We start from the raw sequence: 19,339 nt of genomic DNA on the forward strand, positions 1-19,339 counted from the left end.
GAAATCCTGGCCAGGGCAATCAGGCAACAGAAAGAAATAAAGGTATCTATACAGAAAGAGAAGAAGTCAAACTATCCTTTTTGCAGACAACATAATCTTATATCTAGAAAACTTCATAGTCTCAGCCCAAAAGCTCTTTAAGCTGATAAATAACTTCAGCAAAATCTCAGGATAAAAATAATCAGTATACCAAAATCACTAGCACTCCTATACATCAACAACAGTCAAGCTGAGAGCCAAATCAGAAACTCGATTCTATTCACAATTGCCACAAAAAGAAAAAAATACCTATGAATACAGCTAAAAGATATCTGCAAGGAGAACTACAAAACACTGCTCAAAGAAATCAGAGATGAAACAAATGAAAAAACATTCCATGCTCATGAAGAAAAACAATAAATGTCATTAAGATAGCCATAATGTCCAAAGCAATTAATAGATTCAGTGCTGTGCCTATCAAACTATTAATGGCATTCTTCACAGAACTATAGAAAATACTTTAAAATTCATATGAACCAAAAAACAGCCCTAACAGCCACGAATATCCTAAGCAAGAAGAATTGAGGAGAAGGAACTCCCTCTTCTCCAAAGCTGGAGGCATCATGCTACACAACTTTAAACTATACTATAGGGCAGCAGTAACCAAAACAGCATGGTACCAGTACAAAAACAGACAAATAGACCAGTGGAACAGAATAAAAGCCCAGAAATAAAGTGGTACACCTACAACTAGCTGATCTTCAACAAAGCTGACAAAAATAAGCAATAGGAAAAGGATTCCCTATTCAATAAATGGTGCTGGGATAACTAGCTAGCCATAAGCAGAAGATTGGAAACAATAGGAAAAGGTCTCCCTATTCAATAAATAGTGCTGGGATAACTAGCTAGTCATAAGCACAAGATTGAAAATGGATGCCTTCTTTACACCTTATACAAAAATTAACTCAAGATTAAAGACAAAAATTTAAAACTCAAGACTATAAAAACCCTGGAAGACAACCTAGGCAATACCATTCTGAACATAGGAATGGGCAAAGATTTCATGCTGAAGATGCCAAAAGCAATTACAACGAAAGCAAAAATTACAAATGGGATCTAATTAAACTAAAAAGCTTCTGGACAGCAATAGAAACTATTAACAGAGTAAACAGACAACCTATACAAATGAGAGAAAATATTTGCAAACTATGCATCTGACAAAGGTCTAATACCCAGCTTCCATAAGAAAACTTAAGCAAATTTATAAGAAAAAGCAAACTACATTAAAAAGTAGGCAAATGACATGAACACTTTTCATAAGAAGACATACATGCAGCCAAAAAGCATATGAAAAAAAGCTCAACATCACTGATCATTAGAGAAATGCAAATCAAAACCACAATGAGATATCATTTCACATCCAGTCAGAATGGCTATTGTTAAAAAGTTAAAAAAAAAAAAAAAACAGATGCTGGTGAGGTTACGGAGAAAAAGGAATGCTTATGTACTGTTGGTGGGAGTGTAAATTAGTTCAACCATAGTGCAAAACAGTTTGGTGATTCCTTAAAGACCTCAAAACAGAAATGCCATTCAACTCAGCAATCTCATTACTGAGTATATACCCAAAGGAATAATTCTATCATAAAGACAAATGCAAGCATATGTTCATTGCAGCACTATTCACATAGAAAAGACATGGAATCAACCGAAATGCCCATCAATGGTAGACTGGATAAAGAAAATGTGATACATATACACCATGGGATACTATGCAGCCATAAAAAAGGATGAGATCATATTCTTTGCAGGGACATGGCTGGAGCTGGAGGCCATTACCCTTAGCAAACTGATACAGGATAGAAAACCGAATATTGCATGTTCTCACTTATAAATGAGGGTTAAAAGATGAGAACACATGGATACACAGAAGAGAACAACAGGCACTGCATCCTATTGCAAGGTAGAGAATGGGAGGAGAGAGGGGATCAGGAAAAATAACTAATGGGTATTAGATCTAATACCTGAGTAACAAAATAATCTGTACAACAAACCCCCATGACATGAGTTTACCTATATAACAAAGCTGCATCTGTAACCTTGAACTTAAAGTAAAAAAAATTAAGGTATAGTTGGCAGGTAAAAATTATATACATTTATGGTGTACAACTTGATGTTTTAATGTATGTATATACTGTGAAATCATGAAATCAAGCTAATTAACATATCCATCACCTCATATACTTATCATTCTATGTTGTGAGGACATTTACTATCTAGCCTCTTAGCCATTTTCAAGTATATGAGATATTATTACTAACTGTAGCACAGTAGGTCTCCTGAACTTATTAATCCTATATGACTAAATTTTTGTACCTTTTGGCCATCATCTAGCCACTCCCCTGTCCTCACTCTCATGCCCTGACAACCACCATACTACTCTATGCTTCTATGAGTTTGACTTTTTTAGTTGCCACTTCTAAGTGAAATCATGCAGTGCTCATATTTCTGTGCCTGCCTTAATTCACTTAGTACGTGTCTTGCAAGCTCATCCATGTTGTCACAAATGATAAGATTTCCTTCTTTTTCAGGGCTGAATAGAATTCCATTACATACACACAAACACACACACACACACACACAGAGACACACACATAATATATTTTCTTTATCCATTCATCGATCGATGAGCCCAGGTTGATTCCCCTTATTGATTATTGTGAACAATGCTGTAATGACATTGGTCTAGGCAGTGGTTTTTTGTATATGACCCCAAACACAGGCAACAAAAGTACAAATAAATGAGGTGGCATCAAAACAAAAAGCTTTTGCACAACCAAAGCAACAGTCAACAGGGTAAAAAGATAATCTATGGAATGGGAAAAAATATTTGTAAACTATCCATCTGACAAGGAGTATCCAAAATATATAAGAAACACTCAACAGCAAACAACTCAATAGAAAAAAAATCTGATTAAAAAATAGACAAAGTATCTGAATAGACATTTCTCAAAAGAAGACATACAAATGTCCAACAGATATATAAAAAAAAATGGTCAAATCACTAATCATCATGGAAATGTAAATTAAAACGCAAACTACAATGAGAAACTACCTTACACTGTTGGAATGGCTTTCATCAAAAAGACAACAGATGAGTATTGAAGAGAATGTAGAGAAAAAGGAATCTTTGTATACTAATATGGTTTGGCTCTGTGTCCCCACCCAAATCTCATCTCAAATTGTAATCCCCATAATCCCCACATGTCAAGGGAAGGATCTGGTGGTGGGTGATTGGATCATGGGAGTGGTTTCCCCCATACTGTTCTTGTCATAGTGAGTGAGTTCTCACGAGATGTGATGCTTTTATAAGGGGCTCTTCCTTCATTCATTTGCTCTCTCTTGCCTGCCACCATGTAAGATGTGCCTTTGCTTCTCTCTTGCCTTCTTCCATGATTGTAAGTTTCCTGAGGCCTCCCCAGACATGCAGAACGATGAGTCAGTAAACTTGATAAATTACCCAGTCAGGTATGTCTTTATAGCAGTGTGAGAATAGAATAATACATACACTGTTGCTGGAAATGTAAATTGGTACAACCGTTATGGAAAACAGTATGGTGGTTCCTCAGAAAATTGAAAATAGAGCTCTCATATAATCCTGCAATCCTACCTCTGGATATATATCCAGAGGATATAGAATAAGTATGTCAAAGAGATAGCTGCACTCCCATGTTCATTTAAGAAGCTTCTTACAGTGGAGAGCAGAGTTTTGATTATTTACCTGTTTCTGAGAATCAATTCTTTATGTGCAAGTCTTTAAACTTTATTAACAGATTTACTTGTCGGTTTATTTATTGTTTGTTCTATTTAATCATTCCATTAGAAACTATTTATATCTGGCACATTCTTGTCAGCAACTTTCTTAAAGCTGAAACAGAATTTACCTAATTTATTCCAGTAATTGTTACTAAAGTACAAAGTGTAAAGGAAAAATTCATTGTGTATATTTCTGTGATGTCATGAATTATTAAAATATAATTATCTGATTGCTTTTGGCATACTTATAACTTCAGTTACCGTGGGTTTAAGATGCTGGTCACATTTATGACGGCACCCACATATACACACCCTCCTCTCATACATGGAAAACAAAACCTGCTGTTGTTTTCACTGGCCAGTGGGTGTCAGTAATTTGACCTGGAGACTTGGGGGAAGAAAGGAGGAAAGTGGAAAAGAGGTTCCTTTCTTCAGATGCAGGGAAACAGTTTAAATTTTATTGTTAAAGGATCTGAAAAAACATCGTTTAGGGAGGGGATGCTGACATTCTGGAAGGGGAGATTTCCCATAAAGGAGGCCACCAGACAGTTGGGCTGCATTTTCTCTCTGTGTGGCTACCTCTTGTTCTTTTTTGACTGAGTCTCACTCACAGCCCTGCGAATCCTTCGGGCAAGAAGCAACAAGTTGCAGGCTGCTTCTACATCTGCCTAGGAAGAGGGTGTTAGGTGGGAGGAGGGCAGATGACTCAAGCGTCTCTCTCCTGGACCTTAGTTTCCACCTGTAGACTTTCTTTTAATGTAATCTAGACTCTGTTAGGACCTAGGACCTGAGACCAGTCCAACAGGGTCTCCCCCACACTGGGCACTCTCCAAGAGTATGCCTGGCAGTCAGGCTCTGAATGCTGGCATGCTGCCTATTCTGGCCTTTCCCTTTTGTTGCCCTAAGGGCTGTGTGTTGTGAATCAAATCACTGGGCAACCAAGTACCTTCAAAAACAGCCCCAAGCTCTCTGGAAACTACTTCCTATTCCAGCCAAAATTGCAGAGAAAGGAGGGCATCAAGCTTAGGGGACCAATCCCTGTCTTTCTACCAGTCCCTGATAACTACTCAAGCTCCCTTTAAAGAGGCTCATATTGGAATACTCTGTTGACAAGTAGATACCACTTCACCTCTGCTAGGGTGAGCGCTGGTAGCTCCTCCCTGTTAAATGCCCATCTCAATGCCTCTGCCCTAAGTGAGTTGTGCAATAAATGAGCTGTCACTCTGAACAGGTGGGAAAGAAGTGAACTGCTTGTTCACTTGCTGCTGTTGCCACTGCTGGTACAGAAATAGAAGGTAAGACAGGTGAGAACTGCTTTTCCTTCTATCAAGAAAGATTCCAAACTGAGGCAATGCTTTGCATTGAGTCCTGGGGTTTTGTGGTTTTGGGAACCAACAGTACTCAAAGTATTTTCTCTTGCTAACTGCTTCCCCTCTAGGCCATAAAGCCTCTTTTCTTTCTTTTTTTTTTTTTTTTTTAAAAAAAACACAGCACAAAAAAACAAAGACAAAAAACCTCCAAGCTCCCTTCAGTAGTTGCTACACCTTCAGATTGAGACATCCTTCCTCATTTACAAACCTCAGCTGTGTCTGGGGGCAGGGCCACAGTGAAACTGCCAGGAGCAAAAAGGCTTCCAAGAAAAAGTACCACATCAGATTGGAAACTGGGGACAGATCATTCCTGGGATGTGACGGGCACCAGAATGCTCCCTCTCCAAAGGATCTAAGGACCAAAGCTGACAGTTTCTTTACTTGGTAAGTTTTGGGTGGTTTGCTGTGTAAAGCATATCTGAGAACAGGTATGATTGAGCTCATCTTCCTTTTCTCCTTATTGCAAGGGTTTGTGAATTCAAGTCTGTGGACTGAGGTGGTGGGGAGCATCCAATTAGAACTCCATTCACATGTAGCTCACAGTCATGTGGGCTGTGCTGGGGATGGTCCATCAAGCATTTAGAATAGGCTTGGTTTTGGAATGCAGTGGATCTGATTGCTTCTTGGCAGCTTCTCTTTCCCAATTATGTTTGGCTTAGTCTGATAGTCAAATTACTTTATAATCCCTAAGCTGATCCAGAAAGTAAACAGAAGAGACAGAGAGAACGCTGTCTAAAAAGAGACTGGGGATGGGGCAAGGAGGATTCTGGTTGGATTTTCAAAATGTTCCCTGAATAATCCACAACCCATCCCAAAGAATGGTGACTGCATATGATACCCTAGCTCTTTGTTAAGCTCAAAAAGCTGACTATAACATGCCTCTTTAAAATGCTGGCCAATTAAAGCCACTATGCACATCTTCAATTGTTTTGTTCCCTTAACGAAGCTCAAGAAGGTATATTACAGGTATGGATTTGATTAAAAACGTAAGGTTTCTCATAATGAATATATGTTCTGGTTTAAATAATTTAGAAATTTTCCTAAAATCTAAACCCAGTACTTTGCATTACATCAGAAAACAAAGCCTTGATAATTTGATTTCCAATCTGAAAATGGTGATTCCACTAAAGTGAAGCTAAAGTTTTCCTTTGTATAATTTACAAATGAAGTGTTTGCATGAAATTTAATGCCTTAAGCAAGACAGGCAGAATTGTGAACCTATTTTAGAGAATGCACTGGTTTTTCTAATGGCATTATTTTTGTTGTTATTGTTGCTGAGATGGGGTCTTGCTCTGTCATCCAGGCTGGAATGCAGTGATGCAATCACAGCCCACTGTAATCTCAAACTCTTGGGTTCAAGCGATTCTCCTGTCTTAACCTCCCAAGTAACTCAGAGTATGTGTATGCACCACCATGCCTGCCTAATTTTCTTTTGTAGATATGGGGGTCTCACTATATTGTCCAGGCTGGTCTCAAATTCCTGGCCTCAAACAATCCTTCTGCTCCGGCCTCCCAAAGTGCTGGGATTACAGGCCACTGTACCTGGCTTCTAATTGCTTTATAGAATTCATTATTCACATGAGAATATATTCACAAATTGTTAAGTATCTCAGCCACTTATTAAACCAAGTTTAAAAATAATAATAATAACCATTTTATAATTTTAAAAAGATTTCAAGTTGAAGAACCTTAGGTAGCAGGTGTCTTGAGTAGAGTATGTATGTACTCAAATGATGTCAAACTGCAGGCACTACAAATATTGTCTGGTCAACCTCCACCTTACCAAGTAAAAATTAATTGATTTTGTTATTTAAAGGTTAAAATATAAAATAATAACAATGTAGTTAAGCCTTCATGGTGTAATGTCTAGAAAACTTCTTGCCCTTTCTCTCCAAAGCTGAAATGCCAGATGGTGAGGTTAATTAACACACAACAATCTTGAGATTTAGCTACTAATTTTTTATTTTTATTTATTTATTTTTTTTTTGAGACGGAGTCTCACTCTGTCGCCCAGGCTGGAGTGCAGTGGCGCGATCTCGGCTCACTGCAAGCTCCGCCTCCCGGGTTCACGCCATTCTCCTGCCTCAGCCTCCTGAGTAGCTGGGACTACAGGCGCCCGCCACCACGCCCGGCTAACTTTTTGTATTTTTAGTAGAGACGGGGTTTCACCGTGTTAGCCAAGGTGGTCTCGATTTCCTGACCTCGTGATCCACCCACCTCAGCCTCCCAAAGTGCTGGGATTACAGGCATGAGCCACCACACCCTGTCCTAATTTTTTTTAAGTTATACTTTTAAGTGCTGGGGTACATGTGCAGAATGTGCACGTTTGGGGTACATGTGCAGAATGTGCAGGTTTGGGGTACACGTGCAGAATGTGCAGGTATACACATGCCATGGTGGTTTGCTGCACCTATCAACGCGTCATCTACATTGAATACCCTTTATTTCTTTCTCTTGACTAATTGCCCTAGCATTTCTCCTAATGGTATCCCTCCCCTAGCCCCCTACCCCGCCACAGGCCCTGGTATGTGATGTTCCCCTCCCTGTGTCCATGTGTTCTCATTGTTCAAGTCCCACTTATGAGTGAGAACATGCAGTATTTGGTCTTCTGTTCTTGTGATAGTTTGCTGAGAATGATGGCTTCCAGCTTCCTCCATGTCCCTGCGGAGGACATGAACTCATCCTTTTTTATGGCTGCATAGTATTCCATGGTGTATATATGCCACATTTTCTTTATCCAGTCTATCATTGATGAGCATTTGAGTTGGTTCCAAGTCTTTGCCATTGTGAACAGTGCTGTAATAAACATACATGTGCACGTGTCTTTATAGTAGAATGATTTATAATCCTTTGGGTGTATACGCAGTAATGGGATTGCTGGGTCAAATGGTATTCCTGGTTCTAGATCCTTGAGGAATTGCCACACTGTCTTCCACAATGTTTGAACTACTTTATATTCCCACCAACAGTGTAAAAGTGTTCCTATTTCTCCACATCCTCTCTAGCATCTGTTGTTTCCTGACTTTTTAATGATCACCATTCTAACTGACATGAGATGGTATCTCATTGTGGTTTTGATTTGCATTTGTCTAATGACTAGTGACGATGAGCTTTTCTTCATATGTTTGTTGGCTGCATAAATGTCTTCTTTTGAGAAGTGTCTGTTCATATCTTTTGCCCATTTTTGATGGGTTTTTTTTTCTTGTAAATTTGTTGAAGTTCTTTGTAGATTCTGGATATTAGACCTTTGTCAGATGGATAGATTGCAAAAATTTTCTCCCATTCGGTAGGTTGTCTATTCACTCTGATGATAGTTCTGCTGTGCAGAAGCTCTTTAGTTTAATTAGATCCAGTTTGTCAATTTGGGCTTTTGTTGCCCTTGCTTTTGGTGTTTTAGTCATGAAGTCTTTGCCCATGCTTATGTCCTGAATGATATTGCCTAGGTTTTCTTCTAGGGTTTTTATGGTTTTAGGTCTTGCGTTTAAGTCTTTAATCCATCTTTAGTTAATTTTTGGATAAGGTGTAAGGAATGGATCCAGTTTCAGCTTTCTACATATGGCTAGCCAGTTTTCCCAACACCATTTATTAAATAGGAAATCCTTTCCCCATTGCTTGTTTTTGTCAGGTTTGTCAAAGATCAGATGGTTATAGATGTATGGCATTATTTCTGAGGCCTCTGTTTTGTTCCATTGGTCTATCTGTTTTTGCACCAGTACCATGCTGTTTTGGTTACTGTGGCCTTGTAGTATAGTCTGAAGTCAGGTAGCATGATGCCTCCAGCTTTGTCTTTTTGCTTAGGATTGTCTTGGCTATGTGGGCTCTTTTTTGGTTCCACATGAACTTTAAAGTAGTTTTTTCCAATTCTGTGAAGAAAGTCAATTATAGCTTGATGGGGATAGCATTGAATCTATAAATTACCTTGGGCAGTATGGCCATTTTCACGATATTGATTCTTCCTATCTATAAGCATGGAATGTTTTTCCATTGTTTGTGTCCTCTCTTATTTCCTTGAGCAATGGTTTGTAGTTCTCCTTGAAAAGGTCCTTCACATCCCTTCTAACTTGGATTCCTAGATATTTTATTCTCTTTGAAGCAATTGTGAATGGGAGTTCACTCATGATTTGGCTCTCTGTTTGTCTGTTATTGGTGTATAGGAATGCTTGTGATTTTTGCACATTGATTTTGTATCCCGAGACTTTGCTGAAGTTGCTTATCAGCTTAAGGAGATTTTGGGCTGAGAAGATGGGGTTTTCTAAATGTACAATTCATGTCATCTGCAAACAAAGACAATTTGACTTCTTCTTTTCCTAATTGAATACGCTTTATTTCTTTCTCTTGACTGATCACCCTGGCCAGAACTTCCAATACTATGTTGAATAGTAGTTGTGTCAGAGGGCATCCTTGTCTTGTGCCAGTTTTCAAAGAGAATGTTTCCAGTTTTTGCCCATTCAGTATGATATTGGCTGTGGGTTTGTCATAAGTAACTCTTATTATTTTGATATATATTCCTTCAATACCTAGTTTATTGAGAGTTTTTAGCATGAAGGGCTGTTGAATTTTATCGAAGCATCATACTTCTCCTGAGAAAGAGATGAAAATTAACAGATACTGACGTTTGCTAACATAGGTCTATGCTGGTCTTGTTTTCCATTTACTAAAAACACTCAAGAAATAACAGCCTTTTATTCTGAGGGATAAGTAATTTAGTAGATAAATCAGCCTTCTCAGGTACATATTAATCTACTACAATTTTAATTTTATGTATAATAACTATAAAGTTTCTGCATCTGCTTCCTGTGAATTCCCTCCAAAGCCTATGATTGAAATTAGTTGTAAGTAATGTTTGAAGAACTTTTGCAATTTCTTTTATGAGAACTTGAAGAGTATCACTTAATACATATAAACTTAGCTGGCAAATCCAGGTTTGGGGCAACCTTTCTCACTAATGAGCAGTGTGAGCCTGGACAAATCACACCCAACATTTCTGAGCTTCCATTTTCCCTGCATGTCTGATGAGGGCCCTGTGACCCAACAATAGCACAGGCTGTTTCTTTCTGGCTCTAAAAGCTCTAGCTCTAAGTTACTTTTATTTCCAAGATCAATGCATAAAATAAATTTCAGAGCTACTTTCTTGATTTTCCAAACAGTGCTGAAGAATCAGGAGACAAACTTGAATTTGTAATATTAAGAAAAAGAAAAAAAAGGAGAAAACCCACACCCATCACTGAAGTAATTTCAAAAACAAGCAATTTACTTGTGCCCAACAGAAGTCCCAGACAAACTTCTATTACTCTGAAGAGAAAAAATATGGTAGGTGAATAAATTAGGAGGGAAACACACCACAGACACACACACACACACACACACTACACACATGTATTAATATGAAGTAAAAGAAACCTATCCCATCAGATAAGAATATGCCAAAAATCCAAAGGCTGTTTTTCAGAACAGGTGAAACTACTGTTTCCCACCAAAACCAATCTGATATTTCATAAACTAAATTACAATTGTAAGAAGAAAAATAAGTGTAAAATAAGAATTTTTGTTTTATAGGTGTTCTTTAATTTGTCAAAGACATCCCACTGATAAAAATTCATCCTATATAGCTAGGAGCTATATATAGGAGCTATATCTAAATTTTTCTTTTCTTCAGAGAAACAGAGTAGCTTATCATCTAACTAAATTGCTATGGTGCTTCAACTGAGCTCAATTCTAACAAGTCAAGTTGGTTAAATTACAAAAACAGATTTCAACAAATCATGTTAACATACAAGCTATAATTTTCAGAAAGCATTTGCTTTTAAACACTGATGATCTGCAATTTTTTTTTTAATTTTCATCACATTTGCCCCAGTAGACCTTTAAATAATCCAGAAAAAGTTAAAGTGGGAACTTATTTTCCCATTTTGCCCTGCTTTTGTTTTGATTACCTTTCACGTTTATCATAAATTTAAGAAAGGGATTGTGAAGAGAAGGAATGACCCACTAAGTTTCTACAGAGATACCTAAGTAATTTAACATCAGCAACACCCAAGTCTTTCCAGTTCTTCCACATTCTCCCATGTGCCTTGGGCACCCTCCAATCAGACACTATCCTGACATCGCCTCTCTTGGAACACCTTCCTCAGGACATCCATTTGGCAAAATGGGTTGGAAAGAATGGTCTCAGGTTCCCCCAGTGATTGGAAATGTGCTTCTGCCTCTCTCATTCAAACCTAGGTAGAAGAAGAAAAAGAAAAAAACAGATAGAAAGCTCAAAACAGCAGTCTGAAATGTAATTAATGTTTCTTGGCACAGATGTCTATAGGAGTGATCACTTCAATAGTTGGTGTGACATGGGCACACCACCATCTTTAAGCAGAGGAACCATGTTCCTCATGGTAGAAAATGCACCCCTGGACTGGGTATTCATTAAGTATTAGTGTTTCACATTTCAAGTTATATAAAAATACTTTCAGCCAAAAAATTTTCAAACACATGAATGAATATATTTTTTAAAATGTATTGAGTTTAATATATATATCAGCACACAAAGAACTTCATAAAAATAAATAAGAATAATTTTTAAATGGTCTTATTCCTACAAGAACCTAAGATAAATCATCCGTATGCTAGTATTTCCTAGCCTCTTTCTACTTCTGTTTTTTGGGGTAATTACAGTAGATTTTTTCTTTGGCTTGAAATGAGGATTCAATGAGTTATTATACATAAAGAACTTCAAACAGTAAGTGGCATAAAGAAAGCATTCAATAAATGTAAACTATTATTACTTTTACTACTACTGCTACTTCTACTACTATTACTACTATTGTAATCTTACCGTCCATACAATTAAAACTAATAATCTTTTTTCACTTTATGTTGTTATTTTTCCTGTTTTATTGAGGTAAATTGACAAATAAAAGTTGTAAACATAATGGTCAGTGTGATGCTTATCTATACATTGTGAAATAATTACCACAATCAAACTAATTAATATATCCATAACTTTACATAGTTATCATTGTATGTTGGGGGGGTGAGAACACTTGAGATCTACTCTTTCAGCAAATTTCGAATACACAAGACAGTATTATTAACTATAGTCACTATATTGTACATCGGATCTCCAGAATTTATTTATCCTGAATAAGTAGTATGCTTTGACCAACATATCCCCATTTCTCCCACCTCCCAGGCCCTGGCACCCACTGTTCTACTCATGACTTCTATGAGTTTGGCATTTTTAGATTCCATGTATAAGTGATATCATATTGCATTTGTCTTTCTGTGCCTGACTTATTTCACTTAGCATAATGCCCTTCAGGTTGATCTGTGTTATCAAAAATGACAGAATTTACCTTCTTTTTTAAGGTTGAATAATATTGAGGTGTGTGTGTGTGTGTGTGTGTGTGTAGACAGATGATATAGATAGATGATAGGCAGATAGATAGATGATAGATAGATAGATAGATAGATAATAGATAGATATGGGTTTGATATATACCACATTTTTAATCCACTCATTTATCAATGGACAATTAGTTGATTCCATGTTTGGGCTGTTCTGAATAATGCTGCTATGAACATGAGAATGCAAATATCTCATTGACATACTGATTTCATTTCCTTAGACTATATGGCCAGTAATGATACTGCTGGAATGGTAGTTCTTTTTTTTTTTTTTTTTATACTTTAAGTTTTAGGGTACATGTGCCCATTGTGCAGGTTACATATGTATACATGTGCCATGCTGGTGCGCTGCACCCACTAACTCGTCATCTAGCATTAGGTATATCTCCCAATGCTATCCCTCCCCCCTCCCCCCACCCCACAACAGTCCCCAGAGTGTGATGTTCCCCTTCCTGTGTCCATATATTCTCATTGTTAAATTCCCACCTATGAGTGAGAATATGCGGTGTTTGGTTTTTTGTTCTTGTGATAGTTTACTGAGAATGATGATTTCCAATTTCATCCATGTCCCTACAAAAGACATGAACTCATCATTTTTTATGGCTGCATAGTATTCCATGGTGTATATGTGCCACATAAGTTATTTGGGGGGGGGGAACTTCTGTACTGTTTTCTATAATGACTAAAATAATTTACATTCCCACTAACGGTGTACAAGGGTTTTCTTTTCTCCATATTCTCACCAAGACTTATCTTTTGTCTTTTTGACAATAGTCATTCTAACAGATGTGAGATGATCTCATGAGGTGGTTTTGGTTTGTATTTACCTGATGATAATTGATAGCATTTTTATATACCTGCTGGCCATTTATATGTCTTCTTTAGAGAAATGTCTATTCCATTTCCTTGCCTATTTTTAAAATTTTTAATTTTTTATTGTTTTAGAGGTAGGGTCTTTCTATGTTGGCCACGTTGGCCTCAAACTCCTGAGTTCAAGCAATCCTCCTACCTCAGCCCCTCAAATAGCTGGGATTACAGGCATGTACCACTGCACCCAGCTGCCCATTTTTTAATTGAGTAGCTTGTTTTATTTCTGTTGAGTTGTTTGAATTCCTCATATATTTTGGAAATTAACCCCTTATCAGATGTATGGGCCCTGCTGTGGCTTACAGAAGAGTCAGCATGGCTCCATTTGAAAGTGACTTTAGCATACAGAATGATATAGGATGATTGCTTCACTTACTTGATTAAAATAAGTAAAAACATAGATGGCCCTCAGATGTATGATTTACAAATATTTTCTCTCATTTTTTAGGCTGTCTCCTCACTCTCTTTATTATTTCCTTTGCTGTGCAGGGATTTAATTCAATACCATCTCATTTGTTTATTTTTGCTTTTGTTGCCTGTTCATTTGGGTTCATATCCAAAAAAATCCATGCCCAGACAAATGTCATGGAGTTTTCCCATATGTTTTCTTCTAGTAGTTTTAGAGTTTCAGATTTTATGTTTAAGTCTGTAATCCATTTTGAGTTGATTTTTATGTATGATGTGAGATGAGGGTCCAATTTTATACTTCTTCATCTGGATATTTAGTAACACTCCACCATTTGTTGAAGAGACTTTCTTTTCCCCATTTAGTGTTCTTGGGATCTTTGTCAAAGATTAATTGACCTTATATGCACACATTTATTTGTAGGCTGACTATAACTTTCTATTGATTTATATGTATTTTTATTCCAATACCATGCTGTTTTGATTATTATAGTTTTGTATGATATTTTGGGATCTGATAATGTGATAGTTCCAACTCTGTTTTTCCTTCTCAAGACTGCTTTGGCCACTCAGATTTTTTGTGGTTCCATACATATTTTAGAGTGCCTTTTAAAATTTATTTGATAAATGTCATTGGAGTTTTGATAGTAATTGCACTGAATCTGTAGATGACTTTGGTAGTATGGATATTTTACCAATATTAATCATTCAAATCCAAGAACACAGAGTATTGTTCCATTTATTTGTGTCTCATTTAATTTTTTTGTCATCGTCTTATAGCTTTCAGTGTATAGATCTTTTACTCCTTGGTTAAATGTAATTCTAAGTATTTTTAGTGGTCCTGGAAATTGAATTGTCTTATCGATACCTTTTTCAGAATGTTAGTTGTTATTATACATAAATGCTACGAATATTTGTATGTTGATTTTGCATTCTGCAACTTTACTAAATTTATTAGTTCTAAAAGTTTTTTCTGCAGTCTTTAGGGTTTTCTGTGTATAAGATCATGTCATCAGAAAACAAGGACAATTTTAGTTCTTCCTTTCAGATTTGGATGCCTTTCATTTCATCTTCTTGCCTAATTGTTCTGGCTAGGACTTCCAGTACTATGTTATTAGAAGTGGTTAGAGTGGGCATTCTTGTCTTGTTCCCAATCTTAGAGGAAAAGCTTTCAACTTTTCATCAGTGAATATGATGTTAGCTGTGGGCTTGGCACAGATGGCATTTATTATGTTGAGATACATTCCCTCTATACATCTTTGTTGATAATTATTATCATAAAAGGATGTTGAATTTTATCAAATGCCACTTCTGCATCTATTGAAATGTCCACCTAATTTTTATCCTGAATTCTGCTAATGTGTTGTCATATTTACTGATTTGTGTGTGTCAAACCATCTTTGCATCCCAGAGATAAATCTCACTTGATCATACTGTATGATCCTTTTAATGTGCTATTGAATTCATTTTGCTAGTATTTTGTTAAAGATTTTGCATCTATGTTTACCAGGAATATTGGTCTGTAATATTCTATTATTTCAGTATTCTAGTCTGCCTTTGGTTTGAGGGTAGTGCTGGCCTCATAAAATGAGTTTGGAAGTATTCCCTCTCTGTCAATTTTTGGGGAAAATTTGAGTAGAATTTGTGTTAATTCTTCTTTAATGTTTGGTGGAATTCACTGGTGAAGCCATCAGGTCCTGGAGTTTCCATGGTTGGAAGGTTTTTGATTACCGACTTAATCTTCCTACTTATTCTGTTCAGATTTTCTATTCATGATTCAGTCCTGGTAGGTTGTACATTTCTAGGAATGAATTCATTTCTTCTAGATTATTCAATTATTGGCATGTAACTGTTCATAGTAGTCTCTTATGAGCTTTTGTATTTCTGTGGTATCAGCTGTAATGTCTCCTCTTTCATTTCTGATTTTGAGTCTTCTCTCTTTGTTTCTTAGGTTAGCTAATGGTTTGTCAATTCTACCTTTCAAAAAAGTTTTAGTTTAATTTTTTTCTTGTCTCTATTTCATTTATTTCTGCTCTAATCTTTATTATTTCCTTCCTTCTGATAACTTAGGGATTAATGTGTTCTTCTTTTTTCTAGTTCCTTGAAGTGTAAAGCTAGATTGTTTATTTAAGATCTTTTTTTATTTTTTATGAAGGCATTTATCACTATTAACTTCCTTCTTCAAACTACTTTTACTGCATCTCAAAAGTTTGTTATGATGTGTGCTATTTTGATTTGTCTCAAGATATTTTTAATTTCTCTTTTGATTTTTTTCCTTGACCCATTAGTTGTTCAGGAGTTTGTTGTTTAATTTTCACATATTTGTGAAAACTGAAAATTCACAGGAGTTTTTCAGTTTTTCCCCTGGTATTGATTTGATGACAAAGTCATTATCTTTCATAAAATGATATTTCATACAATTGCAAAGAGAATAATAAAACTTTTTGTGAGAATATAAACTGCAGGCAATTTAAAGAATATCTTTGGAACATTGCTTACATGTGTCCTCCCATATATGCTTTTACTCCCACAGTTCTTATTTCTTTTAGACTACATTTTTACAACAGCTCCATACAATGTATCTGATTCTAACCCTTTAACCTTCTTTCAATATACCATACACACTGTCATCACCTTCATTGTCAAATCTGCTACCTGAAAAAAATATTTAAAAAGTCCCATTCATAACAGAATGAAACCCAAACTCCTTATCTTGCTATGCATGGTGCTTCATGATCTGGTATCAACATGCCTTTTAATCTCTCTCAACCACCATTTCCCCTCATAGCCTTTTGTTCCAGCCAAACAACATGTTTTCTACTGCTCAAACACTGTATTTTCATATCTTTGTTGTTGGCTCAGCCTGCACCCTAAATGTGGAATGACCTTTCACAAATCTTCTTAAATCCAACTTATCTGTACCCAGATGAGCTAGCAAATAAAGGTTTAAATAAGTAAAGAATTTAGCTTTTATCATGTAAAAAGGAGGTCCAGACATGACCATCTATTGCTGGTAAAGTGTTTTCACAGAACCCTGGGGAACTCTTGACTTCTTTTAGATTTTATACTTCCGCTTCTTGCCTAATGGTTGCAAAATTACTGCTTCACCCCCAATACTACACTCACATTCCAGAAAGGAAGTGGAAAAAAATAGAGAAAACAGCATATGGCAGCCAAGTCTTATCACCTTTTTTAAAATTTCCCTACACAGCAACTTCCAAATATATTTCATTGGGCATAATTATATCATAACTAATCTTAGCTACAAAGAAAGCTGACAAAATATTTCCTAGTCAAAAAATGTTGTACTAGTGAGGAAGGAAAATAAGGTGAAACCGATATGCATTCAGCAATGTTGGCCTTAATATTTGTTTATTTTCATAATTGTCTTCTCCTGGTTGTCTGGAACTTCAAAGTCATCTTTGTACCTTCTAGTGCAGCATGCACAAAGAAGATACTTATTATATATTTGAGTAAGTTTAACTTTATAAATGACAAGGGAAAGAGAACCATTTTTGCATTTAAGCATGATTGTATTCCATCGTAATGAAAGCATAAACTTAGATAACTTGATCAAGAGTAAGCAAACTACTGCCTGGGGGCAAAATGTCGCCTACATTGTTTTTGTGCACACCATGAACTAAGAATAGTTGATACATTCTTATAGGGTTTTAAAAAATAAAAACAGGAATATGTAGCAGGGACTGTATATAAACTGCAAAGCCTAAAAGATATGCCGTCCGGCATTTTACAGAACATATTTGCCATCCCTTGACACCGGTTAAAATGTACTACATTTCTTTTTTTTAGTGTTATTTAAGGATCTAGTTGTATTATTCCAGGGTCATTGGAGCCATCTTTGTCTTTTGAAACAATGTATGTGAGAAAACTTGCCAGCCAACCCTTTCTCTTGTCAGGAAATTCAAATGTCCTACCCATTCCACAGAGAAACTGATGTTAGGACTTCCATAATGCTCCTCACTCAGACTTATGAGCTAAATTTCCAGGTTTGAAAGTACACTATAATTTTTGATTATTTTTAAGTAATAGTGTTCTCCTACCACTATACAAATTTAAAGAAAAAAATTATAGTTCCAAAGCAGAAATAAGCATGAGAGCCAATTAATTGTATTTCACACATGCAATTATTGGATAACTCTATATGTGAAGCTAAAGGGACAAAGCAATATTTTTCCTATTGACTCTGCTCCATAACTTGACTAAATTATCCAAGCCAATGATCTGAGGAAGCATATGTGAAACCACCTAGAAGTATTTTACTTTCATGTTGTGTAAGGTATATTTTAAGTTATCTTAATGTTGCATAAAGTCTTCCCATAATCTCAAGAAGGACAGGGAGCAATTTTATCTTACTTGTCACTAAATCCCCCAGTGCCTATTGCAGTGCCTGGAAGGGATTTTATAAGCTGTGTGTGTGTGTGTCTGTGTGTGTGTGTGTGTGTGTGTGTGTGTGCGTGCACATGTGTACATGCATTCCTACTTCCCCTTCATCTCAAGGCAATGAAGTATTGTTTCCATTGTCATATGTCACCTTCTGTTAATGATGAGCAGATCACTACATGGACGAAGTTAAGGAGCTCTACTTCTCGCATATAAATTCTACTTTTCCTATGTAAGTTCTACTTCATCCACGTAAGTTTAGAGTGCTGGAAAATAACATATGAAGAAAGTAAAATGTAAAACATTGGCATGGTTTCTGAAGGTCAAATATATAGTCACTAATGGAATCAGGATCAACACCGTTGCTCAAGCATAATACCACGGTGTCTCTGTTTCACTAAGTTTCCTCTCCTGTAAATAGTCCATGTCCTTAAATTTGCTGGATTTTTTTAATAAAAGTAAGTCATGTAATCCCAAGTAATATGAAGGTATACACAAGTACTCCAAAAAGGTTCAGAATAAAGTAACTGAAGTAACAAGGCACACTCTATTGATATGCATTAAAACAAAAAATCTCAACAAACCAAGCAAGTTTCTTGCAGAACCTAAGGACTTCTATATTTCATTAAGAAAATGTATTGTAAAGGTAAAAAAGCAAATGATAGAACAGAAACAGCGCAATATTCTGAATTGAAGAAACAGTGCAATATTCTGAATTACAGTGGTCTTTAAGTAAATAATAAGCATTAATATTCTCTTCATAAAGACGAGTTTACTAATTTAGTATCATAAAAACATTTTTTTTCAAAAGCCATGTCCAAGTGGGCACCAGTTAAAATAGGACAGGGGTGATTGTTACACTTTCAATTTGTGGAACATTTTTCTTCCTTAAACATTCCAGAGCTTTTATGCAAACATAATTATTAAAGTGCATATGTCATTGGTTCTGAACTTAATATCTGAATTTTCTGTGAGAAAAACAAGGAATTCTTTTCATTTGGATCCTGACTCAGCACTTACATCCCATTTACTTTTAGTCACTGTGTTTCTGCTTACAGTATGTGAAATACTCTCACCAGAACAAAGGTCCCAGCGTCAATAAGTCAAAC

The 19,339-nt window shown here is 36.2% G+C and overlaps 1 protein-coding gene and 1 long non-coding RNA gene across 9 annotated transcripts in view; one reads left to right on the plus strand and one right to left on the minus strand.

Moving 5' to 3' along the window:
• The first annotated feature begins 4,882 nt into the window (after positions 1-4,882).
• BBOX1 (gamma-butyrobetaine hydroxylase 1) overlaps positions 4,883-19,339 on the plus strand; it is an 86,995-nt gene continuing 72,538 nt past the window's right edge. For 2 of the 8 annotated variants that reach the window (NM_003986.3, NM_001376260.1), the window contains exons 1-2: positions 4,883-5,096; positions 5,284-5,546. The gene's annotated coding sequence lies outside the window, so the exon portion shown is untranslated. Of the gene's footprint in view, positions 5,097-5,283; positions 5,547-5,867; positions 6,129-10,309; positions 10,473-19,339 lie in introns of those variants that run through there. The other 6 variants (NM_001376258.1, NM_001376259.1, XM_011520402.2 and 3 more) reach the window with 5 other exon arrangements.
• Positions 11,254-19,339, minus strand: part of BBOX1-AS1 (BBOX1 antisense RNA 1) — a 172,928-nt gene continuing 164,842 nt past the window's right edge. Inside the window, exon 4 of the long non-coding RNA NR_125768.1 lies at positions 11,254-11,380. This is a non-coding gene — a long non-coding RNA (BBOX1 antisense RNA 1). The remainder of the gene's footprint in view (positions 11,381-19,339) is intronic.

The sequence above is a fragment of the Homo sapiens genome, chromosome 11 (assembly GCF_000001405.40).
Source record: "Homo sapiens chromosome 11, GRCh38.p14 Primary Assembly".
In the NCBI taxonomy this organism is placed as follows: Eukaryota; Metazoa; Chordata; class Mammalia; order Primates; family Hominidae; genus Homo; species Homo sapiens.